Here is a 17102-nt window from a genome sequence, read left to right on the forward strand (position 1 = left end):
AACAATCGTAAAAGTAGTGATGGGAGTTGTTTCCAAAATTAGTTGACAAGGAAAGTGACTTCTGTTGTGTTGGTCTCTCTCTTTCTCAGGGACTTCACTCTAGGGGAAGCCAGGAGCCATGTTGTGGGTGGCCCTAGGGAAAGGCCCACATGGCAAGGACCTGACACCTCTGGCCAACAGCCGGTGAGGAGCCAAACCCTGACAACAACCATGTGAGTGAGCTTAGAAGCAAATCCTTCCAGTAGAACCTGAGATGAAACCACAGTCCTGGCCAACACCTCGACTGCAGCCTTGTAAGAGACCTGGCCAGCGCAGCTGCACCTATACTCCTGACACACAGAAATTGTAAGATCATAAATATTTCTTGTTTTAACTTGTTAAGTTGTGGAGCAATTTGTTCTGCCACAATAAATAACGAGTACAGGACCCACTGAGGAATGCTGAGCCCAGAGTGACCGGATCAAATGGGCATTTTGAATGCTGACTCAGGAAAGACCCAGGAGGATACATTGAATGGAACAAGACCAGAGATAAGGCAACTGCTAGTCCAAGAGGGAGACGAAGAGGGTTGAATGATGGGGGTAGGAAGGAGGGGAGAGGAATGGTAGATATCCTGGGAAGGTAAAATCAGTAAGTCTTGGGATTGTTTCTGGGGAGGGGAGGAGTTTCAAGGACAATGCCAGTCATTAGCTAGGGAACAAGGACAGAGGAACATATTTGGAGGGAAAGAAAAAAATGTTCCATTTGGGATGTGTGGAGATCATAGTGGCTGTGAGTCACTCATATGAAGCATGCAAATAGTCAATACGCAGTTCAAAGCAGTCTGAAAGAAGAGACTGCGTAAGAAGTTGCCCTTATACATTCAGGTTGCTTCACTCACAGAGGCTGCAAACTCCAATGCCTCTGTGCCAAGAAAATAACATCAAGGAGTGAAGGGTCCTGGGTGAAGGGTCCTGCATTCAGGAGCTGCAGGGACCGTGTTGAATTGCACAGTGCCTGCCTTCCTTAGGGGTACCAAAGCCACACATGTTTGAAACTCTGCTGTCTGCGACGCTCATTTCAGTTTCAAGAGAAGCTGGCTTGAGTGGCACTCCTTAGGGAAGTGTCAAGCAGAATGAAAAGGACAAGAGCTTTGGAGTCAGACAGCACTGAGTTCTAATCTTGCCTCTGCCACGTGCTAACTGGTATCCCTGGGGGAGTTAATTATGCTCTCTGAGCCAGCGTTTCTTTGGCTGTGTAAGAGACTAATAACACCAGTTTTAGGAAGGTTGTTGTGATTAAATGAGATACTGCTTGTTAAATATCAAGTACAGTTCCCGGCACCAAAGAGGTGCTTGAGAAGTGGTAGCTGACATTCTGATAGTGATGCAATAATGGCCGTCATCTCCACTGAAGGAGGCGAGACTCCAGCACACAGCGAATGTCCTCGCCATTCTATTCAAAGAGAAGAGTCATCCTGGAACAGCCGTGCTGGAACTCTCAGAACTCAGTGTGCTTGAGGGGTATGTGGATCTGTCTTTTGGTTGTGGGTACTTTAAGTGATGAGAAGTTTAATGTCAGGAGGCACATGGCGCAACAGGAGACTCCAAGAACAAAAGTCACAGTACATCCAGGACTCCAGGAAGTGGGGCTGGATCCAAGGCAGCCTGAACTGGCAGCAGCAGAAGTTAATGCGGCTTCACTGGTATGCTCCAGAATATGTGATTTTGCTGTTACCCACGTGTAGGTATCCCATATCACCAACACCGCTATTCTTCCTATTTTGTCTTTTGTCTACCTTGTAGCTTCTATTTACACATAGTATCAGTCTGTTTCCTTCTACTCTGACTTCCTCTAATCCCAACTCCATCTTGTTCTTTTCCATTATAAATCTTTTCTAATTCAGCTCTCGATATGACCTGCATTTTCCTCTTCCCTCCCAGATTAAATTCCCGAGAGTTAGAATTTGTTTCAACCACTATCTCAGCAGTCATCCACAGCTGAAGGAAGAGAAGGCACATCATGCGATGTAAATAAAGGCCACCTAAACTGCTCCTTTAGCAGGAGCTATGAGAGGACAATTTCCCATAGAAGGGACTGGGTGAGGAGGCCCTATGATTGACATGCCTCGGATAGTGCATATGTGTGTGTCCAGTGGAGGCCAGGAGGCTGGGAGTGGTAAGGCACATCAGAAATATGATACTCTTGGGCCGGGCATGGTGGTTCACTCCTGTAATTCCAGCACTTTGGGAGGCCAAGGCAGGCAGATCACCTGAGGTCGGGAGTTCAAGACCTGACCAACATGGAGAAACCCTGTCTCTGCTAAAAATACAAAATTAGCCAGGCGTGGTAGTGCATGCCTGTAATCCCAGCTACTCGGGAGACTGAGGCGCGTGGCTGTAATCCCAGCTACTCAGGAGGCTGAGGCAGGAGAATAGTTTGAACCTGGGAGGCAGATGTTGTGGTGAGCTGAGATCGCATCATTGCACTCCAGCCTGGGCAACAAGATCGAAACTCCATCTCAAAAAAAGAAAAAGAAAAAAAGAAAAGAAATATGATACATTTATTTATTTATTTATATTGAGATGGAGTCTTGCTCTGTTGCCCAGGCTGGAGTGCAGTGGCACAATCTTGACTTCAGCTTCCCAGGTTCAAGCGATTCTCCTGCCTCAGCCTTCTGAGTAGCTGGGATTACAGGCGCAGGTCACCATGCCTGGCTAATTCTTTTGTAATTTTGGTAGAGACGGGGATTCACCATATTGGCCGGGCTGGTCTCGAACTCCTGACCTCAGGTGATCTGCCCATCTCGGCCTCCCAAAGTGCTGGGACTACAGGTGTGAGCCACCGTACCCGGCCTTATTTTAAATGTCAGTATGAAATTGTTGCAGGAAGATGACATGTAACCAGTACAAAACCAGAAGCTTCCTCCAAAAGTCCCTCTCCCTTTTCCTGATATTCAGGTACAAAGGACCATCAAAGCAATTAGCTTCAACCGTAATGTCAATGATGTCAATGGTGCTAGGTTCTTTACATAGCTATCTGGAAAATGAACCCCTTTCCTGCCCTGGCTTCAAAGCACAAGGATAAGCCTTGCTCTCTTTCTCTGCTACTCACACCTACTCGGCCTGGGTGTATACCTGTGTAGGATTTGGGTGCACTATTGTTACCCTAGTTCAGAACAAAGCTAGTTCACCTGGGGTGAAATGAGGGTGGAACCAAGGCTTCTTCTCCCTCCCTTGCAGCTGGCTTCCCCCAGGGAGCTGCTATCGGGGAGAGTTTCATCTCTGCTTCCTGGAGGGAGAGAGCTGAGCCCCAGTGACAGCTGTTGTGATTTCCAGGAGGCACAGGGCTGGGGACTCCCCTCCCTCCTCACTTCTCCAGTGGGTATCCAAATGCATATGTTCCTTCCTGAAGCTCAAGGTGTAAATAGCTGTGAAACTGACGGAGAGATTTGTGGATTCATAGAGTAACATGACTGGTTAAGTAAAATGTCCCTTTTATTATTCAGGAAAGTGGAATCACAGAAAGGTGATAAGGTTACCTGCTCAAGGTCGTAAAACCACTCGTCCCACAATCTGTTCCTGGTGGAGAATGAAAGAGTCCATATTTAGTGATTCCAAAGCCACACTGCTCTGCTTTCTCCCTTAGTGGTATGAAGGGAAATTGGCTGATGCTTGTACACATTTTCAATCTTGATGACTCCTTTTCACTCCCTGCCCATTGTTGGTCATTAGGGTGATATTTTGAGCCTGTGCTATTATAGGCAAGGACCCAGCAACACCCTAGCCCTGCTTGCCACACCCTTCTCCCCTTCCCATTAGACCCCCAGGAAGCTAAGCATAATAAATGATCGTAGATTGTGAAACAGGTACTTTTTTTTTTTTTTTTTTGGAGACGGAGTCTCACTCTGTCACCCAGGCTGGAGTGAAGTGGCACAATCTTGGCTCACTGCAACCTCTGCCTCCCGGGTTCAAGTGATTCTCTTGCCTCAACCTCCCAAGTAGCTGGGATTACAGGCATGCACCACCACGCCCAGCTAATTTTTTTTTTTTTTTTTTTTGTATTTTTAGTAGAGACGGGGGTCTCACCATGTTGGCTAGCCTGGTCTTGAACTCCTGACTTCAGGTGATCCGCCCACCTTGGCCTCCCAAAGTGCTGGGATTATAGGAGTGAGCCACCACGCCTGGAAGAAACAGGTGCTTCTTTATTAAGAAGGTCCGAGCACCTGTACCTCAATGTAGAGCTCACTGGTGAAAGAGGTAGGGGCCTCCTACCTCTCGGGATCTTCCTGCTCTCTGACCATATGCAAAGAGGAGGAGGTCTAAGAAACAGGGGAACTGTGTGGCCAGGATTGCATAGCAGGCCTTGGCTTATTTGCTCACCTAAATGCATGTTAGGGGGAAAGTAGAAGAGAGAAGAAATGAGCTAGGCCTGATCCACCTAGAAATGATATACGAAGCACAAGAAAGAAGCATATAGGGCCAAGCGCAATAGCTCACAACTGCAACCCAAGCATTTTGGGAGGCTGAGGCGGGAGTATTGCTTGAGTCCAAGAGTTTGAGACCAGCCTGGGCAACATAGTGAGACCCCATCTCTACAAAAAAAATTTTTTTAAACAGCCGGATGTGGAGGTGCATGCTGGTGGCCCCAGATACTCAGGAGGCTGAGGTGGGAGGATCGCTTGAGCCCAGGAGGTCAAGGCTGCAGTGAGCTGTGATCGCATCATGACGCTTCACTCAGCCTGGGTGACAGAGCGAGATCCTGTCTCAAAAACAAAAACCAAATCCATAAAAGGGAAGCATATAGGTTCACACCCTTTAGTAAATGCATCTTTTGGTAAATGTGTTATTTCCCTAGCGCTGCATAACAAATCACTCTAAAACTCAATGGCTTACAACAATAATCATTTATTATCTCTTGCAGTTTCTGTGGGTTAGGAATTCACACAAGACAGAGCAAAGATGGCTTTTCTCTGCCCCACCATGTCTGGAGTCTCAGCTGGAAGACTCAGAGGCTGGGAACTGGACCTGCCTGAGGAAGCAGTCACTCACACGTCTGGTGGCTGGCTGTTGCTTGGCACACTAACACATGGGCCCTCTGTGTGGCTTCCTCAGAATACAGGAAGGGTCCTGAGAGAGAGCCAAGTGGAAGTTATATTGACTTTTAGGGCCGAGCCTCAAAAGTCAGGCAGCATGACAGGCCAGGCGCGGTTGCTGATGCCTCTAATCCCAGCACTTTGGGAGGCCCAAGCTGGCGGATCACCTGAGATCAGGAGCTCGAGAGCAGCCTGACGAACATGGAGAAACCCTGTCTCTACTAAAAATACAAAAAATTAGCCAGACATGGTGGCGCATGCCTGTAATCCCAGCTACTCAGGAGGCAGAATCGCTTGAACCTGGGAGGCGGAAGTTGCAGTGAGCCGAGATCGCGCCATTGCACTCCAGCCTGGGCAACAAGAGCGAAACTCCCTCTCAAGAGAAAAAAGTCAGGCAGCATGACTACATTGGATTCGTTGAGGCAGTTACTAAGGTCAGCCTAGGTTTGGAGGGAGACCCCACCTCACAACAGAGACGTGTTCGCATCACATAAGAACAGCATGAGAGATGAGATGATTTTGGAAAATACCATCTGCCATATAGCCCAGTCGATGTGTTGGACTCTGACCATTCAGATTAGAAACTTCTTATTTATTTATTATTTGTTTATTTTTCCTCAAGACGGAGTCTTGCTGTCCCCAGGCTGGAGTGAAATGGTGCGATCTCAGCTCACTGCAACCTCCGCCTCCCAGGTTCAAGCAATTCTCCTGCCTCAGCCTCCCGAGTAGCTGGCATTACAGGTGCCTGCCACCATGACCAGCTAATTTTTTGTATTTTTAGTAGAGATGGGGTTTCACCATGTTGGCCAGGCTGGTCTCGAACTCCTGACCTCAGGTGATCCACCCTCCTTGGCCTCCCAAAGTGCTGGGATTACAGGGGTGAGTCAACGTGCCTGGCGCAGAAACTTCTTCCTCACTGAGGAGGTAGGAAGGACTGGGCCCTGAGGTACACGTGGCCAGGAAGAGTGCCTAAAATTTTATTTCTCATACCACCCCTACCTTTTTTTTTTTTTACAGTTATTCATTTAGAGACTCCTTTCTACTCCACTCTTTTTAACTTCCTTTCCTTCCTTGACCCATGACAAAAATTCAAACTGTTTTTTTTCTGTTTTGTTTCTGGGGGGAGACAGGGTCTCAGTTTGTTGCCGAGGCTGAGTGCAGTGGCACGATCAGAGCTCACTGTAGCCTCAACCTCCTGGACTTAAGTGATCCTCCCGCCTCAGCCTCCCCGAACAGCTGGGAGCACAGGCGAGAGCTACCGCACCCGGTTAATTTTTTAATTTTTTGTGGAGACAGGGTCTCACTATGTTTCCCAGGCTAGTTTCAAACTCGTGGATTCAAGCAGTCCTCCTGCCTTGGCCTCCCAAAGTGCTGGGATTACAGGCATGAGCCACCGTGCCTGGCCTGCAAACTCTCTGGTTTTGGTATTGAAATAGGACTAGGTTGATGGGTAAGAAGGTGCGTATGTGGATCCTCTAGAAAGACCCCTACCCAATCAACCATCTTCCAAAACAAAATAAAACAAAACTACAATCTAACATTTCATTTTACTATGCCATAAAAATCTGCATGAAAGTTAAATTTGTCTTAAAACTGCATCAAATGCTAAATTCAAATAAAATAGAAGTGCTATCTTATGAATCATGTATTACCTTAGTGGAAATTCATCTGGGTTTGAAATGGGGGAAAGGGTGACTGGCGATGGAGTTGAGAGGCTATTAAGGGACAAGGTAGAGGTGAAGAGAAGAGCAGAAACAGCGGAAGCTATAATCACCCGGAACACCGCCTGTGTTATAGTTGACCAAGAGCTGGTCTTTGTAAGCAGTTTCCATGCTTTTCCAGGTGTAAACCCACAGTATCAGCTTGGGGGTCACAGACCGTTTTGCACCCCTCACTCAGAGACCAACCGCCAAAGCCAAGCCTTCTCTTTCATGCTGCTGCTCACTAGAAATGCCCCTTTCTTCTGAGTCCTCCTACAGATAATTCATATTTTCTAATTAATAACAATGACAACTAATATACTAACATTTGTTAACAGCCTACTATGTGCCAAGTACTATGTTAAAAGCTCACTTTATCTCACATAATTTTTATAAAAATAATCTATGAGGCAGATCCTGGTAACTACCCCTACTTCACACATGAGGATGCTGGAGGCACAGAGAGGTTAAGGAACTTGTCCAAGGCAGCATAGCTAGTAAGGCCTGAAGCTGGGATTTGAACCCAAGCAGCCTGACCCTGGTACCCATGCCTTTAACCATTGCATTATTGTATACTTATTGTGTTAAAAGAGCATCCTAAATACTTTTTTCAAAAATTATTTATTTATTTATTTTATTATTATTATTTTTTTGAGACGGAGTCTTGCTCTGTCACCAGGCTGGCGTGCAGTGGTGAGATCTCAGTTCTCTGCAGCCTCCAACTCCCTGGTTCAAACGATTCTCCTGCCTCAGCCTCCCGAGTAACTGGGATTACAGGCGTCCACCACCATGCCCAGCTAATTTTTCTATTCTTAGTAGAGACGGGATTTCACCATGTTGGCCAGGATGGTCTCGATCTCCTGACCTTGTGATCCACCTGCCTCGGCCTTCCAAAGTGCTGGGATTACAGGCTTGAGCCACCGCGCCCGGCCAATACTTTTATTAATTTAAAAAAACGGTAAACATGATGAACTTAAAGTCCACTTAAAATATTTAGTGGGATAAAAGTGGTTAGTCTAAAGTAGGAAAAATAAAACAAGATTATATGTAAATAAAATGAGGAACAAAACCAGACTAGTATATTGAAACAGTAAAAAGTAATTTTTCTACAAAAGACTATTGTCTCCGTCAAAACAAAAAGAAAGAATACATGTTAATAAGATGTAAATAACACAAAGTAGACTTGGCATTTAAAAGAATATTATTTCTATATATGTATATATAAGTAAATTTTGATACCCAAATATGTACTTGCTGATAAAAATATAAAGCACTGTGACAGATGAAATAACCAGAAAAGAAATACAAGAAATTACACCCCAAAAGATGCCTGGTCCTTATGGGTTTACAAAAATTTTGTAAACTTTCAAAGAACAAAAAAAATTCCTGTTATACAAACTTTAAATGTATGTGAGTGCTTATGTGTGTTGTACGTTACCCAGCTCATTTCGTGAAGAGAAAATGATTCATTTCAAAATCTGAATAGGAAACTGAAATCAAATCTTATTTATGAACATTAATATTAAGATTTCAACTTGGTAGAAAAAGAGAAAAATTATTAAACACAAGTTGATTTAACTTATAGCAAGGTTTATTTGGAGTACATTATACTTTATTCTAAAGACACAAAACTGGTACACAGAAGAAACGATAACATAACATATCACATTGACAGGAAAAACAAATATATGTATACATATAATAATTATCCAAAGAGATTTTTTTTTTTGAGATGGAGTCTTGCTCTGTTGCCCAGGCTGGAGTGCAGTGGCGTGATCTCGGCTAACTGCAACCTCTGCCTCTGGAGTTCAAGTGATTCTCCTGCCTCAGGCTTCTGAGTTGCTGGGATTACAGGCACACGCCACTACGCCTGGCTAATTTTTGTACTTTTAGTAGAGATGGGGTTTCGCCACGTTGGCCAGGGTGGTCTCGAACTCCTGACCTCAAGCGATCCGCCTGCCTCAGCCTCCCAAAGTGCTAGGATTACAGGTGTGAGCCACCGCACCTGGCCATCTGAAGAGATTTTAATAAGGTATTTGCTATAATTCTCATTCTCTTCTTGATGAAATTCTAAAAAATCAGGTGTTAGTAATTTCGGGATTGTTTTTTGTCTTATGGGATTTACTTCAGTAATGCACCAGAAATGCAGCTTGCCTGGTCTGCCTTGTTCAAGCCCATTTTTCTTATATGACAATATATCCTTTACTCCCAGAGAAGGAATAATCTGTTTTGCAGATGACATGACTACAAACCTAGAAATCTAAGGAAATCAACTGAAAATTACTGAAAGTAATGAGCTCAGTTGCAGGACTAACCTTAATACCTCTAAAACATTTGTATGTACATACATGTGTGTATGTGCGTGTATCTATTATATATTCTATGTACGTATACTGTTTTATGTATATATGCCAATATGAAACTGATATCTAATAAGGAAATACAAAAAATAAATTTTATTGTTGCTAGTACAACCAAAACAGATTAAACACATGGGGTTGATTTAACTTATAGTAAGGTTTGTTCAGAGAAATTACAGAGGACGTTGTTAATAAATCAAGTTCCATATCTGATTAGAAAAGTGAATAAAATAGTATTTCCTAGGCAACATGTAGATTTACCAATTAAAGCCTCGGCAGGTTAACTTCAAGTGTCTAACAAAATAAGAGGGCAATTCAGCTGGATAATAGCAAGAAGAATGCCAAAGAATACTTATTTTAGAGGATGTAATGATTATTGATTCACACTATTGTATATTTTTGGCTGTACTAAATTTTAATATATGTTACAAAGTCATCATTATAAAAGCAGTGGAGCATTAAATTAAAAATAGAATAAGTTACTGAATCTGAAATAAACAGATTTAACACATTAATTCAAACGCTAAGAGCTTAATATATGACAAAACAGAAGGAGTACAGTATGGAAAAGAATCATGACAAAATGCTATTGGTATAAAGAAGCATTTACATATATATTTATACATATATGTGTATGTGTGTATATATATAGATAGAGAGAGAGAGAGAGAGTGCAATTAAGAACAGTATTTTGGACTCAGATAGTCTTTGGCAAGTTCCTTAAAATTTCTGTCTCCTTTTCCTTAGTGGTAAAATGGGACCCATAATACGTATCTTGAGGGTACTTTTGCAGAATAACTCAGTTATTGTACATAAAGCACTTAGCATAATGCCAGGAACATAGTAAACAGTTATTATCATGAGTCAGAGTGTTAAATATAAACTAGAACCAACTGGTTAAATGCTCTAGAAACACAAACAGGAAAACATGTTCCCAGTGGAAGAAGGGAAACAAATTTCTGATTATGGAAGCATGCAGGGCAGTATCATAGACAAGATGGATGTTCAAAATGTTAAAAAAAGAAGAAGAAAAAACTTATAAACAAAACATATTATTGAGAGTAAACACAAATTGTTGAGCTCCTAAATGAAGTAGTTTTGGAAACAGCAGTGCCAGGCCAGTGGAGATGGGCTAAGTTTCAGGATGGCCTGAAATCTCCCTATTTGTCAAACAGCCCTCCCAGAGCTGTGCCTGAGAAGGAAAGTTCATGGACCTTTCATGTGACCCCAAAGGCAATCAATCCCAGTGAAAGTGGTCCTCCTTCCCATTCTATCATCCTCTTGGGCTAGGTCTGTCGAGAGCCCTGTGGCCCCTCCTTCTCCAGCTTGGGATGCAGAGGCGCTTCATCTGGGCTGGATGGACTTGTGGTTCTCACTGGTCACCCAAGAGCTGTGCCATCACCCTCTGCTCCCAGGGCTGCTCCTCTGGCACATTTCCAGCCAGTCCAGCTGCCCCTTTAGCTTGCCCCATGGTCCAATGTCTCTTTACTCCTTTACATTAGCTGATGAATGTTCATTGCCTCACTGTTTTTTCGTTCTACTAATCTGGAATTTCATGTCATTCCCACAGCCCCAGCCCAGTCAATACACTCAATGCAATATCGTAATTCATATCCCTAAACCCCACTTTTCCTTTCTTCATCTGGATAATTACTTTATCCTGTATGACTCAAGTCACTCCAGGAGGCTTTCCTTGACACATCCTAGCTGAGCTCAGAGTCCCTCTTGTAAGAATCATGGCAGCCGGTACACCTTGATTAGACTGTAAATTCCTTGTGTGCCAGCGACAGTCAGAGCTCTTAGGCATCTTTGTTCCAAGCACAGTGCCTGCCCCACGGGAGTCCTAAGAAAGATTTGTGCCATTTGCTGCTGTCTCTCCCACTGCTGGGCACTAGCTTTGACTCCACTGTCTGTCCTACTGAAACTGCACGTACTAGTTTGGGCAGTGGTTCCCCAACCTGACTGTACATTGACACTTCCTGAGGAGTGCATAAAAATACCAGTTCCCTGGGCCAAGTCAGTCAGAATCTCCGGGGTAGTATTTTTTCAGAACTCCCCAGATTGTTCTTCTGTGCATCCAGAGTTGAGAACCACCAGTTTAGGACATTATTCAGAGCCCAACTAAGAGATTTTAATTCTGAGTCTGACTAGGGCACATGGGAAGCGCACCCCTGCTGACATGGTTGGTTGCTACGCAGAGCCTAGGGGAGTCAGGAAGCATCCCAGCTCCCTCTCAGTGCCCCTCTCTCCACACCCCCACCCCCATGAGGCTGAATACTTAGTGCAATCACTTTCACTTCTCCTTGGAGGGTAGCTGTTTAAACCCTTTTTCTGGGAACTGGCTCTGAACCTGCCTCAGCAATTCACATGCACTCCCATCATTGGCTCTAATCAGAGGGGCGGGGCACTTTACCTGTCATTATAGTACCTCGTTTCTCAGATATTCCCTTTAAGTGGAAGCATAGCACAGCAGTAATTCGGCGGATCCAATGAGAACCTGACAGGTATATAATTTTAGGGGCCCTTTTTAAGGAAAAGAGTACAAGATTACAAATCACAAAATTGCCAGGGCCTTCCTGAAGTCTTGGAAAGAGCCCCTGCCAAGAGCTGTAAGCTTTGCTAGCTTCGGAGTAAATCTGCTTCTGAGAATAATGGCTGCCATTTATTGTGTCAATATGTATCCGAGACTTTTTATATATAGCTGTGCTTACAACAAACAAGCAAGGATGTATTATCCTCCTTTTACAAACAAGGAAACTCAGGCAGGGAAAAAATTCGTTGTTTATTTCAGGTCGCATATGTGAGACTAGAATTCAAACTCATTTCTGACTGGCTTGTGAACTCAAAATCTTTCCACCACACTAACAAATTCCAGCATCTACAAAGGTTATGCACGCCGGGGACCCAGAAGAAGCAAGCAAATCCATATATATACTGAGTATTCTACGTAGACTGAAAAATTAATGTGACTTGCATATGTGTGGGCCACTTTTTACATTATGTAGGTGCCGCTGTAATTAATCAAGTCATTTGAAAGCACGTGTTACTCAATAGCTTCAATTATAGTGTCTTTTCTCAATCAACAGATACAAAAGGTACAACCCCCCCTTTTTTTTTTTTGAGACGGAATCTCGCTCTTGTTGCCCCGGGTGGAGTGCAATGGCACGATCTTGGCTCACTGTAACCTCCACTACCCGGGTTCAAGTGATTCTCCTGCCTCAGCCTCCTGAGTAGCTGGGATTACAGGTGCACACCACCATCTGGAGCTAATTCTTGTATTTTTAGTAGAGACGGGGTTTCACCATGTTGGCCAGGCTGCTCTAAAACTCATGACCTCAGGTGATCTGCCTGCCTCGGCCTCCCAAAGTGCTGGGATTTCAGGCGTGAGCCACCACACCCGGCCTAAAGGTACAACTCTTATATGAGCATCTGCAAAACTTGGTTGTGTTAAAAAGGAAGCATGGTGCTGGAAAGTATCGGAAGCTCACTGTATTAATGGTGAAGTGGTACAGCTCATGTTCCCTGAGCCTGTCGTGGTCAGGCTCTTTCCACAGGGCTCCAAATTCTCAAACAGTGGTCTCTAAAATGGGGGATTACAAGACAATCTATTGGAGTCAAGGAAGAAAATATCAGAAATTATATTTATATTTATTTTTAACATTGCCTTTTAAAATGTCCGTATATGTTTGTGTTTCATGAGGTATATACTAATGTTATTACAGTAGCATATGTGTGTGATTTATAAATAAGTACAAATTGCATAGCATAATAATTAGTAGCATAGACTCTAGAGCCAGATTGCCCACGTTAAAATCTTGGGTTTATCACCCAGAGACGGGTTGATAGGTGCAGCAAACCACCATGGCACATGTATACCTATGTAACAAACCTGCATGTTCAGCACATGTATCCCACAACTTACAGTAAAAAAAAAACCAAAAAACAAAAAAACAGCTGGGCACAGTGGTGCATGCCTGTAATCCCAGCACTTTGGGAGGCCGAGGCAGGCAGATCACGAGGTCAAGAGATCGAGACCACCCTGGCCAACACGGTGAAACCCCCATCTCTAAAAATACAAAAATTAGCTGGGCATGGTGGCGCACACCTATAGTCCCAGCTGCTCAGGAGGCTGAGGCAGGAGAATCACTTTAACCCAGGAGGCGGAGGTTGCAGTGAGCCGAGATTGCGCCACTGCACTCCAGCCTGGCAACAGAGCAAGACTCCGTCTCAAAACAAAAACAAAATCAAAAACAAAACAAAAAACAAATAAACAAACAAAAAACTTGGGTTTATCTCTGTGTGTCCTTGGAAAAGTAATCTTTCTGTGCTTCAGTTTCCTCATCTGTAAAACGGTGATAATAATACTGGAATGCCTACTGCATAGGGGTATTGTGAGAATTAAATGAGTTAATACAAGCAGAATATTTAGAATGCTGCTCTGCAATATTAGGGGTGGTGTATGTTTTTTCAATGATAAATACAGTGATCCACAGATGATGAACTTGATGGGTGGACAGAGAGAGTGTGCTGTCCTGTTCTGATTTTAGGAAAACAAAAGAAAAAAGGACAATTATTATTATGCATATACACATATTTTAAGGTATATTAAAGATGCATTTTGTGTCTGTCTCTTTCTCTCGTCTGTCTCTCTTTAACCCAAAAACGGTGTGGTTTTACACATTTGGCAATTATGGCTCCAAATATTCTACTAACTAGAGGCACAAAAACAAACAGCTCTGGGGCATCAGAGCAAGACCACTCCCCAAATTGCCCCTTTCGCTTAAGCCAGCCTCTAGCCTTGGAATCTGGCTAGCACTGCCAGGTTGCCTAAGTCCACAAGCAGTAAAAGAGGGCCCTAGTATGCTGGGGTTATTTATCTTGGTGTTGTCCTCTGGCCCAGCCCTGCCCAGGAACAGGAGACAGACGGCCACACAGAGCCTTGCCTCTGATAACTGGGGGGTGGAGAGGTTGAGAAACAACGCTTCACTCAGCAACTTCCTGCTCCCTCCGAGGAAGAAGAAAGGGGTGTCTGTGCTAGAGCCACTCCCTTGCCAGCAGCCCAGCAGAACAGCTGCTGATCCTCTGCATCCCCACGTCCCGGCGGAGGCCCTGGGAAGTGGGAACATCAGCTGGAGAGAAAAGGAGAAAGCAGTACATTGAGTGTTGCTTAGGCCGCCTGCTTCGCTTTCTTCTCTCGCTCTCCCCAGAGACAATCTCGTGGCCTGTGTTTCCCCGCAGGCAGGCCCCAGCGCCCTCAAGCCCAGATGTCTGCTGTCCACGCTCTTCTGACTTCCGGAAAGCTAACATCTCAGATTCCCTCTCCCTGAAGGACCTTTGGGAAGTCCCAACCCCCACCCCAGGCTCTTCACTCCCCCCGGGTCTGCTTCTCATTCTCTCAGATAGATTTATAACTTATGTAAATAAATGTACATGATTAGCCAAGTGATTATGTAAATGGCGCCTTCCTTTTCTCGTCCCAATTCTGGTGACAATAATGATTAAAAGATGGAAAATAGAGTCAACATGTAAAAGGTAAAGAAGCTGGAATTTAATCTGAAAAAGCAAGTGTAATGCCTATTTCACGGCAAGGTTCCATTTGCACAAAGGATAAAATAAAAGAGGTCACTGACTCTCAAATTTCCATGAAAGCTCTAAAACGGTAGCAAATCAGGTAAAATCTGACTACCTATATTCACTGATTTTCTCATTAAAATTAGTGGCTCTTAGGAAATGGCCAGGTAGACTAATTGCTATACTGTATGAATGGCTCGTACTATGATTACAGTGATATACAGTATATAGCATACACTCAAAAAAATCCCTGAATTTACTAATAGACAAAATATCTGTGTAGAAAGAGCCACAAATCCAACTGTTAAATTATTATTTTTAAAATTCTTGCCCATATTTTAAAGAATTAATAAAGCTAGCTTTTCAGGAACCATGTAAGAATAAGCAATTGGATTTTAAAAATTGAAATGGTATTATTATGCTCACTCTTGTAGGCTGAACAAGAGCTACAAAAAATTGTGTACATCTTACATAATATTTTAACTCTGGGAAGCCAAGTACATAATGATCATGAAAATCTACTAATTTCAAATGCTGCTGCAGCTGAAATTCTATCTCCAATTTCCACCGACTCACATTGCCTATTATTTATGAAACTGACCCGCATCCCACCCATGCACAAGTTCCAGGAGCCTACAGAACATTTTGTCTAAAGTAATAAAAACAATATTAGAGAACCGCTATTGAACATAGAAATTATATTCTATTACTTAGTTAATAGTTGACCCCGAACTCAGAATTTTTAAGAAAACTTCTCAACAGCACCATCTGGTGGGCAGTGCAGCAAAAACACAAAACAAAACACAGCAAGACGAAACCCACACTCCATACTTTGAGTTCTTGGAAGTGATTATCAATTGCGCTTCATTAAGTTTGTTTTATTTTCCAACGTAGAGTCTACATTATGAGATGTTTCCGAGGGCCAGTTGGGTAACTGACAATTTAGTGGTATGGCCAAGACGTTTTCTGTAACAGTTCATATTTCAAATACTCATACATTCTAATAACAAATATTCTTGAGTTTTATATTCTTTGTTATGTAATATTATTGTCTCGAAAAAGTGGATTTGTAAATTGTACAATGAAATGTAATTTGATTTTTAATTCCTTTAAATTTTTTTTTTTGAGGCAGAATCCAGGCTGGAGTGCAGAGGCATGATCTTGGCTCATGGCAACCTCCACCTCCTGGGTTCAAGCAATTCTCCTGCCTCAGCCTCCTGAGTAGCTGGGACTATGAGATTTTTTTTTAATGTAAGTCACAAATCATCAAACTTTTTTTGGATCATTTGTTCTATAATTAGGGGTGGGTAGACAAGGCGAAAGTTAGGTTACCAATGGAAATTTGGCTTTTACATTTCTTACGTTAAGCTGTGCCAGGTAGTTTTGAGGCAGATGATGGATGAGCAATCTTTCTACGGCCTTCCTTCAGTGTTCTAACATAGCCTGGGCTAATCTCCAGCATGCAGAACACAAGGTGGGATCTTTTAGAATGGCTAGTCTAAGACAAGGTATAAACTAAGATTTTTATTTCTTCAACAAATATATTGAGCATCTCCGATGTCCAGGCACTGGTCTAGGTTCCAGACACAACAACAAACAAAACACCAAAAATGACTGCTTGTAAGGAGTTGATATTTTAGAGGGGGAAGCATAGAAAGTATTGTCAGACAGTAACTGTGCTATGAAGAAAATGCAAGATCAAGGAGACAGGGAATATTGGGGAAGGGAATGGTTGCTGTTGATACGGAATCATCAGAGAAAGCCCTTCTAACAAGGTGACTTCAAAGCAGAAGGAAAGAAGTGAGGCAGAAATCTGTGCAATAGCTGAGGGAAGTGAGTTTCAGGTAGACAGAATAGGAGGTGCAAAGGCCCTGGGGTGGGAGTTTGCTTGGCATGTTCAGAAAATACCAAGGAAGCCACGTTGGCTTGGACAGAGAATGAGCAAAACATTCAGAAGGTGAGGTCAGGGAGCTAATGGGGTTAGATCATGTAGGGTCTTGTAGCATTGTAAAGGCTGGTTTTTACTCTAAATAAGATAGAAAACCACGGACTATTTTGAATACAAGAGCTATTCTGGCTGTTGTGTTGATATGGTTGTAGTAAAACAAGGGCTGAAGCAGGGAGTCCAGTTAAGACACCATTGCCTCAGAGGAGAGGCAATAATAGGTTGGACCCAGTGATAGCAGAGAAGGCAGTGATAAATAGTTGTATTCTGAATATATTTGCTGGTAGAGCCACCGAGATTTACTGATGGATTAGATGCGGAGAGTGAGATAAAGAGAAGAGCTGAGGATGACACTAAGGTGTATGTCCTGAGCAAATGGCAGAATGGAGCTATCACTTACGGAGAATGGGGCAGATTTACAGAAGTCTGTTTTGGGGGAGGACTGGAAGGGG

General features: G+C 43.4%; 1 long non-coding RNA gene across 1 annotated transcript in view, besides 4 other annotated features; it reads left to right on the forward strand.

Moving 5' to 3' along the window:
* The first annotated feature begins 1418 nt into the window (after positions 1-1418).
* EHHADH-AS1 (EHHADH antisense RNA 1) overlaps positions 1419-17102 on the forward strand; it is a 29055-nt gene continuing 13371 nt past the window's right edge. Inside the window, exons 1-2 of the long non-coding RNA NR_038990.1 lie at positions 1419-1502; positions 15838-15956. This is a non-coding gene — a long non-coding RNA (EHHADH antisense RNA 1). The remainder of the gene's footprint in view (positions 1503-15837; positions 15957-17102) is intronic.
* Positions 13728-14252: an enhancer, noted in NCBI's record as "H3K27ac-H3K4me1 hESC enhancer chr3:184892998-184893522 (GRCh37/hg19 assembly coordinates)". NCBI's record gives its function as "activates a minimal SCP1, AML or CMV promoter by ChIP-STARR-seq in primed H9 embryonic stem cells {active_cell/tissue: H9 hESC(primed)}" and the evidence as "EXISTENCE:reporter gene assay evidence [ECO:0000049][PMID:30033119]".
* Positions 13728-14777: a biological region, named in NCBI's record as "H3K27ac-H3K4me1 hESC enhancers GRCh37_chr3:184892998-184893522 and GRCh37_chr3:184893523-184894047".
* Positions 13999-14293: an enhancer, noted in NCBI's record as "tiled region #8302; HepG2 Activating DNase unmatched - State 1:Tss, and K562 Activating DNase unmatched - State 5:Enh". NCBI's record gives its function as "activates a minimal TATA promoter and a strong SV40 promoter by Sharpr-MPRA in HepG2 and K562 cells {active_cell/tissue: HepG2 | K562}" and the evidence as "EXISTENCE:reporter gene assay evidence [ECO:0000049][PMID:27701403]".
* Positions 14253-14777: an enhancer, noted in NCBI's record as "H3K27ac-H3K4me1 hESC enhancer chr3:184893523-184894047 (GRCh37/hg19 assembly coordinates)". NCBI's record gives its function as "activates a minimal SCP1, AML or CMV promoter by ChIP-STARR-seq in primed H9 embryonic stem cells {active_cell/tissue: H9 hESC(primed)}" and the evidence as "EXISTENCE:reporter gene assay evidence [ECO:0000049][PMID:30033119]".

This window comes from Homo sapiens, chromosome 3, assembly GCF_000001405.40.
Source record: "Homo sapiens chromosome 3, GRCh38.p14 Primary Assembly".
Taxonomy (NCBI): Eukaryota; Metazoa; Chordata; class Mammalia; order Primates; family Hominidae; genus Homo; species Homo sapiens.